The sequence below is a fragment of the Homo sapiens genome, chromosome 15, assembly GCF_000001405.40.
Source record: "Homo sapiens chromosome 15, GRCh38.p14 Primary Assembly".
Lineage (NCBI taxonomy): Eukaryota > Metazoa > Chordata > Mammalia > Primates > Hominidae > Homo > Homo sapiens.
This window is the reverse complement of record NC_000015.10, coordinates 64672810-64686283: the sequence shown is the minus strand read 5'-3', so window position 1 is coordinate 64686283 and position 13474 is coordinate 64672810. Positions and strand designations below refer to the sequence as shown.

General features: G+C 48.0%; 1 protein-coding gene across 5 annotated transcripts in view, besides 1 other annotated feature; it reads right to left on the bottom strand.

Annotated features, from left to right (window-relative positions):
• The window catches only part of ZNF609 (zinc finger protein 609), a 226491-nt gene continuing 213232 nt past the window's right edge, over positions 216–13474 (bottom strand). For all 5 annotated transcript variants that reach the window (XM_047432263.1, XM_047432265.1, XM_017022021.2 and 2 more), the window contains exons 5-10: positions 10028–12368; positions 7802–8168; positions 5924–6099; positions 5422–5638; positions 4897–4975; positions 216–4592 (exon numbers count right to left, since the gene is read on the bottom strand). In XM_047432263.1, coding sequence (XP_047288219.1) covers positions 4902–4975; positions 5422–5638; positions 5924–6099; positions 7802–8168; positions 10028–12368 — 3175 coding nt within the window. In that variant the 3' untranslated portion in view covers positions 216–4592; positions 4897–4901. The remainder of the gene's footprint in view (positions 4593–4896; positions 4976–5421; positions 5639–5923; positions 6100–7801; positions 8169–10027; positions 12369–13474) is intronic.
• Positions 241–742: an enhancer, noted in NCBI's record as "NANOG hESC enhancer chr15:64977741-64978242 (GRCh37/hg19 assembly coordinates)". NCBI's record gives its function as "activates a minimal SCP1, AML or CMV promoter by ChIP-STARR-seq in naive H9 embryonic stem cells {active_cell/tissue: H9 hESC(naive)}" and the evidence as "EXISTENCE:reporter gene assay evidence [ECO:0000049][PMID:30033119]".

The following is a 13474-nucleotide window of genomic DNA, read 5'->3' as shown; positions in this document are numbered from 1 at the left end:
CAAAGGCTAAATTGGAAACCCAGTCAAGATTTCCCTCTTCAAAAAAAAATCACCCAGTCAAGATTTCCCTTTTCAAAAAAAACTTTTGCTATTGAAGACCACTGACAGGAAAGAAATATGGTACCCAAAAGGCTGCACTACAGTTTAAAAAGCAACTTAGAAGGTAGAATATTTTGGGGGTGGGGGTGGTGTGTGAAAGGCAAACTAAGTCTAAATTTAAGAACAGGGACATTAAAAACTTTATTCAATAAATACAACAAATAATTTAAAAATATATTTCAATTCCAAAGCCAATTAAGAAGAGGAAGTAGAGAGAAAGGGAAAAAAGTGGGGATGAGGAAGGTAGAGGAAAAGAGAAAGCGGCCAAACAATGGTTTGGTTGGGCTGTGTTTCAGAGTATACCACCCTTTAAAATTCTGATCAAATACTCTTGACCCATAAACCCTTAGCCCTTGTTCTGATGGGGTAGCCACAGGAGTCCACCAGCTGGGAATCATCCACTGAGCTCTGGATCAGAGCATTCTAGAGGCTGGAATGTCGGGGGAGTTTTAGGGGTAGTTTTCCGGTCATTCCTAAAACCATCCGTCCTAACTCCCAGGCAGGTTTAAATAGTGCAAACTCTTAGGCAGAGAGCTCCCAGCTGCATAGTTTCACAGGTGAGTGTCCCAAGCCAGGGCCTCCAGGAAACAGGTCCCAGAGTACCCAGGGGTCCAAAGCCACTTCGGTGAATGGAAATCTAAAGGTGAAGAGAGGGGAGGCCAGGGCACAGAGTAAAGCTCCTGGGCTAAGCCAGTGGCCAAGCCAGAAAACAATGCTGGGCAGAAAAGGGTTACAAGGCAGGTAGTCTGGACACTGGATTCAACAGCTTGCCATCAGCCAGGGAAAGTGAAGCTGAGGATGCATATGGAGCAGGGCCAGGAAGATCAGGAGAGCTGAGGGAGAACAGGAAAATTGGGAGGAAGGAAGAGGCAGCTCAGCAGCAAACTCCAGGAGAAATAACCAGCAGCCCTCACAGATTTGTGATTGTCTCTTAAAAAGATTTATTTTCTCTTCTTGCCTGAATGTACAAAGGCAAAAAGAGTACAGTTTGTATATATATATATTTATATATATATATAAAAAAACAAGGAACTTGGTAATGTACACTTTACAGAAGGGAAGAATCAGGAAGACTGAAATTAAATTCAACAGAGCAACGCCAATGGAACAAAATCTATGAACAGCAACACTGCCCCTCCAGCCCGGGCCTCCAGCTCGCCCCAACCTGCTCCCAATGGGAGGGCTGAGCACCAAGGCAAGCGGGTGGGCTGGGGCAGGAGGGGCTGGGGACAGGGCCTGGGAGGGGCTTGATCCCAGGAGGGGGGCCCATGGTAGGAGATCACTGGAAAGCTTCCTGGGATGCCCAAGTAATTAAAACAAACAACAAAGGCCCAGAATTATGGGGCCAACTAGCTGCCCAGTTGCATCTTGGGGGCATCAGAGTAGACAAGGGGATGGTGAGAGGGTATACGGGATAAGTGACATGGGTGGCCTCAAAGCCTGTATGAAATAATTCTCTAGCCCTCTGCAGTCTTAACTCGCAACTCTAAGTCCTGCCATGGCCCCTTAAACGTGGAAAAAAGAGACTCAAGAAATCACCATTTCATTTCATAGGGTGCCCTCTTACCCTTCTAAGCGTGTGGTTCTTTGACCTTGTGATGTGTGGAGAGAGTTCGGTAAGAGAAGGAAATTTCATACATGTACATGTACAAGGCAGGAAAAGGGGATGAAGGGAACTGCCATACCTTAAAATGAGGAAGTAGTTGATGTGGATCCTAAAGAGCAGCTCTCCAAGCCTTGCCTGATCTATCTGGGGATGAGGCCCCCTCCCTCTTTAGCTTCTCCTCTATGGGAAGCCCCGTGAGCAATGTCTGTGAGGGCCTGGGCAGGGGTGGCTCATAAACAGGCTTGGTCTGGTGGTCTTGGCCCTTGGTAGCAAATTTTTCCAGCCTTTGTTTGTGGGGTGGGATAGGATGGGGACCCCTGCTGAGCATCTCATCCCTCTGACTAGGTCATGGATGCCACAGGTAGCTCCCACCTGTGTTTCTCCTCCCCATGTAGAGGTGGGCAGCAAATCTTTCACTCAGCACTTGTCAAGAATCTCCACAGCTGCTGCTTCATGTTATTTCAGAGGGAAGACTAGGCCCGGCAGGCATCAGGATCTGCCATGGTGGCTTTCACCTGCTCTTCTGAGCAGCTCCTACTCTTCAGGGGAGACTTGGATATGAGGATCAAAGAGCCAAATGTTTAAGAAGAAAAATTAAAAAGGAAAAGAAAAACCTGTTCTCTTCTGGAGAACCCAAGGCTGCCCAGCTAATACAGAAGTTCGTCCTCTGTGTTACAGAATGAGTGGAAAGGGCAGGAATGCAGGGCCATGCCTGCCCAATGCAAAAGAAAATTACTCCTAACGGTTTCTTTACAATATATACAGAGTATGCTGCAGGCCAGTGCCACAGATACAAAACACACAACAATATTTAAAAACAAACAGGAACAGAGAGGGAACCTTGGCTCCACCTCACAGGAGCCCCAGGAGGGCATAATCAGGCTGAAATTCAGTCACCCTCTTGGTTGGGGTGACTCAGGTGGGGTGGGATGACGGTGTCTGCACTAGCTACTTCCACGGAGGAAAGGGAGGTCACTGCTCAGAGCACTGCCCATGAGGGCAGCAGAAGGCAGAGGGAATGATGGGTATGAGGGAGGCTGTTTTGGGGCCCTGCCAAGAGGTCTAAAACAATGGTTTTTGGGGAGGACTCAGAACCCAACTTGAACAAAAACGAGGAGGCAGAAACCTAGGGAAAAGGCCTGTAGATCAGAGGGGATCCTCTTGAGCAGATGGTGACCCTAAGCCTCTCAAGTGTAGGGTTCCAGGGTCCTTGGAAATCAACTACTACTGGGCATTGTGCTTACTGTCCCCTATTTCCCATTTTCCAAACTGAGTCGGAGCCAAGTTCCTGCTCCTAGTCACTTTTGGCACTCTGGTCACACACTCCCTTTTCCAGCCTACACTGGTGTCTGTCAGTCTTTATCTCTCTCTCTCAATCCAGAGGGTCATGGAAAGATAGGAGGGGAGAACAGAGGGATGATACCTCAAAAGCCAAGTAAGCTAAGCTCCCCACACCTTGGGGAAGACATGACCCCAATAAAGCTACCAAATCATCCTCACTTTCCCAGTACAAAGAGTATAAAGCTTCCATTGGGAGACTGCATTTCTAAGGAGAGCAGAGAAATGTTGGCTGCCTCAAAGCACAGCTCCACTGAGTACATTCTGAGACTCTAATAAGTAATGGCTTGGATGTGTTATTCCAGGGTCTAAGGAACAAATAACCTCCCATGGCCAGTGGCCCCTCAAACAAAATATGTGTTACCAAGAAACACAGCTTATATTGGCCCACATGGAGGTTATAGACTGAGCTATATAAAATCATGTACTTGTAGACAGAGGAATTGGGCTGTATATATCTGTGGCCTCAAATGAGGAAGATATCAGATGGCTAGATGACAGGACATCTCCAAGAACTGCTGGGTGCTCCCAGGGGCTGCCTTCTGGGCCTTGCCCTAAGGTGACCTGGCAGACTCCAAGGTTCCCCAAGCTGGGGGGAATACTAGTTTATCTGCCTGAGGCTTAAGAGCCAAGCAGTGGAAAAGAAGAGGCAAGACCAGTGTGGGGATCCCCCTGGGAAAGGCACCAAGGGGTTAGGAGGGAAGGGAAAAGGGCAAGGAGTTGGGGAATAAGAAGCAGCAGGACTTAGTGGGGACGCAGGTTCTACTTCACAGACGTCATTCATGCTCCAGCACCAGCTTGCTCCCAGTGTCCCTGGGGAGCCCTGTGCTGGTGTTGGAACCCCTGCCCCCTGCCTCACAGGCAGCTCAAGGCCATGTTGGGGCAGATGCCTTGGTCTTCCTTTCCAGGCTAGGTTGTGAGCGTTTATATGTGCTCATGTAAATGGGGAGAAGTCTCCACATTTGAAGACCTTGTTTTCACAATTATGTAGAAAACAACCCCCAATTTCTTTCCTGAGATTCTAGTTCCTCCACATGCTGCCAATTCCCAGGGTGCAAAGCACTAGGGAGATGCAGAATCTGGTGATGGTGGTAATGATGGTGAGGGGTATGGCTGCTGTGCTGTCTTCAGACCTTACCCAGTGCTTGGGGGTGGGGGTCCCTCCCTGGTGGGCGGGGGGGCTGGTACTGCTCCAGCAGCAGACCAAGGGCTTGGGGAACAGAGCAGTGGCTTCTCTGGGCTGAGGCCATGTTCCCCTGGTTGCTTCCCGTGCCTTCATCTCCACAGAGGCCACAATAGTCATAACTGTGGCTGAGAGAATAAATATTTTTGCTAAGTACCAGCTCTCCAGCTCCTGAGGAAGAGGTAGGGTCAGGTAGTCCGGAGGTCTGGTGGAGGTGAGATAGCCAAGGGTCTGCCTTCAGTCATGGTGGAAACGGCAAACAGGATGATCAACACCATTTAACTGATGTCTAAACGGCACCTTCAGCACCTCCTTGGGTAAGCCAGTCCGGGCCCGTGAAGCTGACTTTATCCGGGCACTTGGTGTCTGCAAGGGAAACATGGACAGATAACCAGGCACTCAGCCTGTTGGTAAAAAAACCACAAGGTGGCACTCCAAGAAAATGAATTGTAGGAGTGGCCAGTACTGGTCCCTAGGGGACACTGTGTTCCACAGGTCCTCTCAGATGCACATGGCTTCACGGGAGACTCTTGTACAAGAGGCTTGGCCAGGGTTCCATGGATTCCAGACTGCTGACCCCTCATAGCTATTTCTCACCTAGGGATTCTGTGATCCAGGTAGCAACTATCCCGGCTTTATGTGTTGCCCCAAATTAATAAAAGTGACTTACCATTCTCACCTCCTGGGGGGTGGGTAGAGTGAGGGAGTTGAGCCTTGTTGGCTGGCAACAATGGCTGTAGAAGAAAGCCCTGAATAAGCAGGAGAACATGTTAGTGTAGCACTCACAGAAACCTTCCATTAATCTTTTTCCCTGAGTTTTGGGGTGCTGACAGAAAAAAAAATCTGATACTCAGCCAGATATATTTGCTGGAGATAGATAATAAGGCTCTATTTCTCAGCTGATTGTTTCTCTTTGCCTTTGGGGAACACCTGTTCCATATTCTTCTGACTATCAAGGCCAGTATTCTGGAGGAATTTAAGAGTCCCCAAACTCCAAGGGAGGAATAAATATCATATGCTTTAATGACTGCAGGAGGTTAGGACTGTGCACAGATTAGAAGCTCAAAAAAAAAAAATTAAAAAAGGATTCTTATGAGGCAGGTAGGAGGGTCCTAGCTGTGGACATTACTACTGGGATGAAGATAAACAAAACAAAACAAGACAAAACAACAGGTGGTAGGGAAAACAGGCTTACCTGCTGCATAGGGTAAGTTGTACTGTGCTGGGAGCAATGAGTACCCCAAGTGGTGGTGGTGGTGGTGTGTGGACATCAGGCGCTGGGAAGGAGAGGTGCGGGGCCGGTCAACACTCCGTTCACCCCCACTTGCTCCCCCGACGCTGCTACAGCTGCCACCACCCCCAACCACCCCACAGCCTCCTCGATCTCTCTCCTGAGAAGTTTTATCACTTATCTGGAAAGGAAACCAGAGACACAAAAGCACTATAGTGAGACACATATGCATACAACCACACACACACACACACACACACACACAAGTGAGATGCCCAGGGTGCCACCTTATGACCCCTAAAAGTGCAAGATACCTAAGAATAAAGAAGATGCCCTGGGGGCTGCCAGTGTCAAGTCAGCCAAGCTGCACTGTGGTCAGGACCTGAACTTGCCCACCTTCTCCCAGACCCTGGATCTGGCCTTACTAGTCTTTGGGTAACAGCCAGCATCACTGTACTTTTCTTACCGTGGGAGACTTGCTCTTGTAGTGACTGGCATGCTGCTGCAAGATGTCCAGGGCTTTGGACTCTGAGCTGGATTTACAAGTCACACTGGGGCTGGCTCGTGCCTTGTCAGCATCTTCACCACCTGAGACCTTGCTGCCATATGGGGAAAAAGAGTAGCTGGAAGGCAGGTAGGAACCTGTGGAAGGAGAAATCAAACAGTCAAAGAGATGGGAGAGGTAGAGGAAACTCTGCTTTAGTGAGCTTGATTGGGTGGGCATCAGCTTTCCTAGGCACAGGCTGAGGTATTTTCTAACATAGTGTCTTTGGCTGAGACTGTTGGCTTGACCTTTCTTTACTGAGCTCTACAGGAAAAATTAGCTAAGGGATATTAGGAACATGGCCCTGTTTCCTGCTTCCAACTTCCATAGATCTGATACTGTTCTTTGAACTGGTCTCAGATTCATCTTGGAGAAGTGATATGATAAAGTGGAAAGATCACACTTATCTGGAGTCAGAGCCTTGGGCTCAAAACCTTACTCTGAGACTTACTAGCTTGGTAACCTTGAGCAAATAAATAACTGTTTTGAGCTTCAGTTTCTTCATCATCAAAAATGAAGATATCAATACTTATTACTTAAGGTGATAGGGAGGATTAAAAAAGATAATGTCTATAAATCTCAGAGGACAGCGCCTGGCTCAGGGCGAGCACTCAACAAATGCAACTATGATTTTTATATTGATGGGTGTGAGTGACAGGGATAAAGGAACACCTCAAGGGTAAGAAATTTCCTATTTCTGTTTGAAAAGCTTATTTCTATTTAGAGTGTGCTTTATAATAATGTCACCAGAATGTTGAGACTATTTAGGCTGCTGTAGGAAGCTGGAGGCTCTAAGGAGTGAGGCTAAAGCAGTGCCCTTCCACCCCAGAAGCACCCCACATGGTTCTTTGGGCAACAAAACGAGTAGAGTTAAATAAGAGCATTTTCTTCTAACAAGTTAAAAAACATTTAAGGCCGGAGCGGTGGCTCATGCCTGTATCTCAGCACTTTGGGAGGCCAAGGCAGCCGGATCACCTGAGGTCGGGAGTTCAAGACCAGCCTGACCAACACGGAAGAACACCGTCTCTACTAAAAATACAAAATTAGCCAGGAGTGGTGGCACATGCCTGTAATCCTAGCTACTTGGGAAGCTGAGGCAGGAGAATCGTTTGAACCCAGGAGGTGGAGGCTGTGGTGAGCCGAGATCACGCCACTGCACTCTAGCCTGTGCAACAAGAGTGAAATTCCGTCTCAAAAAACAAACAAACAAAAAACATTTAAACACTATAAAGAGCTTGTCTTTTCCAAGCTGAATCTAGCAGGACCTCCCCCCAGTCTGACTTCAGATGGCTCTTCTTACTTGACAGGTGAACATGATCTGGCAACTGAATCCATGCATTGTTATGGTTTGCATTTTATTTGTTCTTTGTGTCTCTCCACTATGATTAAGCTGTAAGCTCCGGGAGTGGAAGGAACTCAATGGCTCTACTTCTTTTGTACCTCCCACAGTGCCTAGCACACTGCAAAACGTGGAGTATATGGTTTACAAATTCCAGCTGAGGGGAGACAGCAGTGACAGAGAAGGAGTTTTACCTTTAGTTAGCAATGAAAACTGACTACAGAGACAATCCTTGAGCTGGAGCAAGGGAGAGAGAGGTAGTCACACAGACTATCATTATGGGTCATTCAAGGAACTATGGGTTATGGTGGCCACCTCACAGAATGACTCAGTGAAAAAAGGTCCGTCATCTAAGCGAGCCTCAATATGCCTTGGGGCTGAGCAAGAAAACTCTGGATGTGAAATCTGTGCTTCATTCCCCCTTCCAGTGAATGGAATAGTGCTGGCACTTGGTGCTGTACCTGGGTAGTTCTGCATCATCACAGCAGGCATGCTCCGGTAGCTGGGGTGGTTGGGGTCGTAGGACTGACTGTAGGAATAGCCGTGCATGTAGGGGATGTAGGACTGGTGCTGGGTAAGTGGGGAGGACACAGGCACATGGACACTTGGCCGGGGCTCCTTGCTCCCAAGGCGAGACTCCTCTGACGTGGGCAGCTTGCAGTCACTACTTGTGCTTTCCTTCCCATCTTCCTTGGGGACAGAGTCCTTACTCCGACTCCTTTCCTCCTTCAATTTGCGGTCCCGCTCCTCCTTCCACCGCTCATCCTCTGACTTGATGTCTGAGTACTTGGCAGGATAAACATATGTCCACATCCGGGGCTCTGCCTCCTACAACAATCACAGAACAACGACTGGGTGTTGTACAGATAAGACAGATATACTTCAAGCCCAAGGTCCCAGTAGAACCACCAGAGCAGATAATTAGTACTAGACACCTGGGGCAGAGTAGGATTTTGGCCTCTACTGATCTTGTTTATAATCCAACTCTGCTCCCTTTTGGTTAAAAAGCCCCCGCCCCCACCTCTGCACCCACCCACAGGGAACAAGATGGGGCAGGGGGAGAAAAGGAAAATCCATCCATGCATCAGTGGATGTTTTCTAGGTAAGAACAAGCATTCTGGGAAAACGACTGAAATAGGAGAGGCTGCCCCTTCCAATATGTTTAGATTGTTTCACTTTTTCAGAGCACGCTCAGGGACTGGAAAGCTTATAAGTGACACTCAGATCAGAGGAGGGAGGGAAGCATAACTATTATACCAAGAGGGAAGGGAAGACATTCTAAGTCTCATGAGCAGAGCAAGATATGAGATTCCAAGTTCCTAGTTCTAACTCAACCTATAAAATCCTTGTTAAAGAAACTCAGTAACTGAGTATACTTTGGACCTACTCTAAAAAATAGAGAGACCATCAATAACTCATTTCATAGGAACCAAACAGTGGAGGAAACACGGACAAGGAATCGAGATACCTGGGTTCTAATCCTGGCTCTGCTAGTGAGGTCTCAAGTAACCCCAGACAAATTAAGCTAACTTGTCTGGGCCTTTCCTGTCAAATGGAAAAAACACCTGCTATGGATATAAAAGTGCTTTTTAAAAAACATTAATATGAATCCCTGTGCTTTGGGAGGCTGAGGCGCGAGGATTGCTTGAGGCCAGGAGTTCAAGACCAGCCTGGGCAACATAGTGAGACCCCTCTCTACAAAAAATTAAAACATCATCTGGGTGTGGTGGCATGCATCTGTAGTCCTGGTTAATTGGGAGGCTGAGGCAGGAGGACTGCTTGAGCCTAGGAGTTGGAAATTGCAGTGAGCTATGACTGCATCATTGCATTCCAGCCTGGGCAACACAGAGGGACTCTGGTCTCTATAAAAACATAAAAATAAAAAAAATTACGACTGGGCGCAGTGGCTCACGCCTTAATCCAGGTACTTTGGGAGGCCGAGGTGGGTGGATCACAAGGTCAGGAGATCAAGACCATCCTGGCTAACATGGTGAAACCCCGTCTCTACTAAAAATACAAAAAATTAGCCAGGTGTGGTGGCGTGCACCTGTAATCCCAGCTACTCGGGAGGCTGAGGCAGGAGAATCGTGTGAACCTGGGAGGCAGAGGTTGCAGTGAGCTGAGATTGCGCCAGTGCATTCCAGCCTGGGTGACAGTGCCAGACTCCATCTCAAAATAAATAAATAAATAAATAAAATAAAATAAAAATTGGCTGGGTGCAGTGGCTCATGCCTGTAATCCCAGCACTCTGGGAGGCTGAGGCAGGTGGATTACTTGAGGTCAGGAGTTCCAGACCAGCCTGACCAAGATGGTGAAGCCCCATCTCTACTAAAAATACAAAAAAAATTAGCTGGGCATGGTGGCGTGTGCCTGTAATCTCAGCTACTCGGGAGGCTGAGGCAGGAGAATTGCTTGAACCTGGGAGGCGGAGGTTGTAGTGAGCCAAGATTGCACCACTGCACTCTAGCCTGGGCAACAGAGTGAGACTCCATCTCAAAAAAAATAATAATACTAAAATAAAATAAAAAACATTAAAATAGTTTACAAAGGTAAAGAATCCTTAAAATTATACATCTCTCCTGCTAATCTCAATTCCGTTGAACCCCTGTATAAGGACAGCCCTTATTTGTGAGGAAGATAGACGATTACCATACGGTATTTCCACTTCCTCCCAGGGCAACAGTTACCTGTCGGTACCAGAGTATTGGATCCATCTCTGCCTGTCGACCACACTCAGCACCTGTCTTGGCCTCAGAGGCCTCCTTGCTTAGGTGGCTGGCATCACTCAGCTTCACTTTAAGGCCTTCAGGGGCCTGGCCCGGGAGTTTTGAAGAGTCATCTAACTTGGGAATGATGACTGATTTGGCTGGGTCAGCCCCTGGCTCCTTGGCCTTGCCAGGTCCTGATTTCACCAGGTCTGTCAGGCTGGGGGCCTTGGTGAGAGTTGGTGGAATTGACGGCTTTTGCTTCCACTCTTCCTTGAGTGCTGCCTCCCGCTCCTTCAGGCCCATCTCTGCCTTCTTGTCCACTCCCCGCTGCTGCTGCTCTAAGCTCTGGCGTTTCTGCTGTTCTTCGTACTGCTGCCGGTAAGCCGTGTTAGTGCTCAGAAGGTGGGTGTGGTAACTCTGGTCGCTGTAGCCATAGGGGGGTACATAGGCATACTGGTTGTAGTACAGGGACTGCATGTACATATTGGGACGCTGCTGGATGACCGAGGGCTGCTGACTGGAACTGCTCAGCTCGGGCTTCTTTTCTTCACAGATATCGTTCTTCACTTTCCCTTCTATGCTCTCAGGTTCCTCATCCCTTTTTGTCTTCAGGGCCTGGCTCTCCACTCCTGCCTGGCTGCTGGGGTTCAGAGCCCCAGGGCTGGACTGTGCATAACTTGGAGAATAGTAACTCTCAAAGCCTTGGTAATATGGTGAGTCTTTGCTCTGAGGCTGAGGGGGAAAAAGAGTTTTCTTAGCCCCTTCTTTAACCAACTGTTCGGCGTCCTTTGATTTGACACTGTCTACCTTGCCCTCCCCATCCTCCCCAGCATCAGAGATGTCAGAGTATGCAGGGCTGTTGGTTTTGACTGAGCTGGCTTCAGCTCCATTCTGGGTCACCACATGTAAGGGAGTCAGGGGCTGAGTAGGGGTAGTGTTTTCAAGGCGGCTACTGCCTCCAATGGAAGGGCTGGGGGCATTGTCCGTGAAACTGTAGATCTTGTCGGCTTCAGCCTTGATGCTAGCCAGTCGGCTTTGGTGGGGGTCTGATGAGCCATTTAGGAGCCCCTCCATTTTCATCCCATCTCCTGAAGATTCCCTGAATGGGCTTTTGCCTTCCTCTGCTCGACACACCTTCCCAGGGGTCAGAGGACTTTCAAGTTCCTTTGAAGATTCCTTCTTTTTTTTGTCTTTCTTTTTCTTGTCCTTGGCTGGAGTCAAGGCAGGGTTGACTGTGAAAGGTTCTCCCATAACAGTGGGCTTGGGCTGAATGGGCTTGAGTTGGGGACTGTTGGGCATGGCTTGTGCCACTGTGGCGGTCAAGCCTGAGGAAGAGCCTGGGCTCGCTGCTGTGAAGGTGGCTGTCTGGAAGGTGTAGATTTGCTGTGGGGGGATGGCAGGGGCAATGGGACGGGCTGACTTTAGGCTCTTGGAAGGAATCTTTTCAGGTTTTAAACTAGAGGGTTTTTTACATTTTTCTTTTTCCATACACTTCCTTTCTAAAGAATCAAAGGCATCATTGCTTGTTTCATCCATCACTGAGGGTCCATCATCAGAGCCATCATTGGATAAGGCCCCAAGGTCTGTGTCCCCTTCCCCACTCAACTTTTTCTTACAGAGGCCTTTTGTGCTGAATTTGCTTGAAGGAGAAGGGCTATGGGGCTCTACAAGTCGAACTTTGGGGGTAGCTGAGCGGGCAGGGGACAAGGAACCTTTTTGTGAGACAGATGCACCGTTGCAGCTCCCAAGATCTGCATGGAGAATAGGTTCCTCTCCGTACTCACTGTCCCCATCCGCTTCCGGCTTGCTGTCATCATCTGTATGGGCATGAGCTTGGTGGTACTTAAGTCCATTGATGTGCTTGTACTTCTTGTTGCAGTTTGGGTGGGGACAGTCAATTAGGACGGGGGAGGGGCAGTTTCTGTCCAGAACAGTGGGTTCTACCTTTGTCCCAGGAAGGGGGCCAGTGGCTGAGCCCATGGAATTAGTACGGACACGCTTGCTCCCTTTGGAGTCCTCTGAGCTAGAATTCAGCTCCATGTCTGAAAGGGGTTTGTTTTTCCGCTTATTAGCTGAGGAAGGGCTGGCCTTGACATCCTCAGAAGTGCTGCTGGCAGGTGGGCGGTGCTCTGAAGAATTCTGGCTGCCCCGACGGCCTTTGCTATTGGCTCCTGCCCGGGTTTTGCTGCTGTTACTGGTCCCTTTGCTGTCAGAGGCTGTGGCTGTCTCATTGACAGGTGTATTACTGTTGGGACGCATGCGTTTGCCTCTACCCCGGCCATTGCGCATTTCCAGGTCACTGGTCGGGGAGTCACAGAACCTTGGCAAAGGATAAACACAACAGAATATTATTAAGAAGAGAAAACATCTTCAAAGCAGTTTAGCTGTAGCCTCCAGAACTGTCCAGATGGTGACTATCATTTTCAATGAATATGATTTGTTAAAAGAAATTCTGATTGTGAATTGCACTAAATGGTGAACTCCTGGGATACACGTTAGCTGCAAATTATTCCCAAACATTTACCTCTAAAACCATGCAGAATCTGTTCCGTAAGATAGTCAAGTCAACATTTCCTATATACAGCCATAGTCATGGTTTCAGAAAAGATGTTAGAGATCATACAGGAAATTGAGGCCAGGCATGCTAAATGACTTGTCCAAGGTAACATCACTGATTAATGGCAACATACAACAAGACTCTAGCTCTACTTTTAGCCCAATGCCTTTTTCTTACATACCTCACTATGAAGATATAGAAAGGTAGAACAAAGCACCTATCCATTTAAGAGTTCCCTAAACATCAGATATAACCAAGAGTACATGAGTTCTTTGAATGTCTGGAGATCTGCACCTAGGGGTCACTCCTCATAGGCCCTAAAGTAGCTTTTCATGGAGCTTAAAACACTGCCTAGAATTAAACCTTTAGCTAAGATTGGTTCCCTTGTAAATCTAAAGATGGTTTTGACTCTCTTGTTCCAGGGGGCAGCTGGAGTAGGTTGTTTCTAAGACAGTGGGAACCATAGCTATTGCAGAAAAGAGGCAAATTTTGTCAAATATCTCCTTTGGGTTCCCAGAACAGTTCTACTGTAAAGCTACTTACTGCTTCCTTGTTATCAACCTACTCACTCAGCTCCTATCTCTCTGGATTCTTGCATGCCCAAAGCAGAAATAAGTCCTTCCAATAGGTTTCTCAGAAATGCAAAGGGAGGGCATAAAGAACTTTACTAACTTGTTTTAGCTCATATGCTTCTGATTCTTTTTTTTTTTTTTTTTGAGATGGAGTCTTGCTCTGTCGCCAGGCTGGAGCGCAGTGGCACGATCTCGGCTCACTGTAACCTCCAACTCCCTAGTTCAAGTGGTTCTCCTGCCTCAGGCTCCCGAGTAGCTGGGGTTACAGGCATGAGCCACCACGCCCAGCTAATTTTT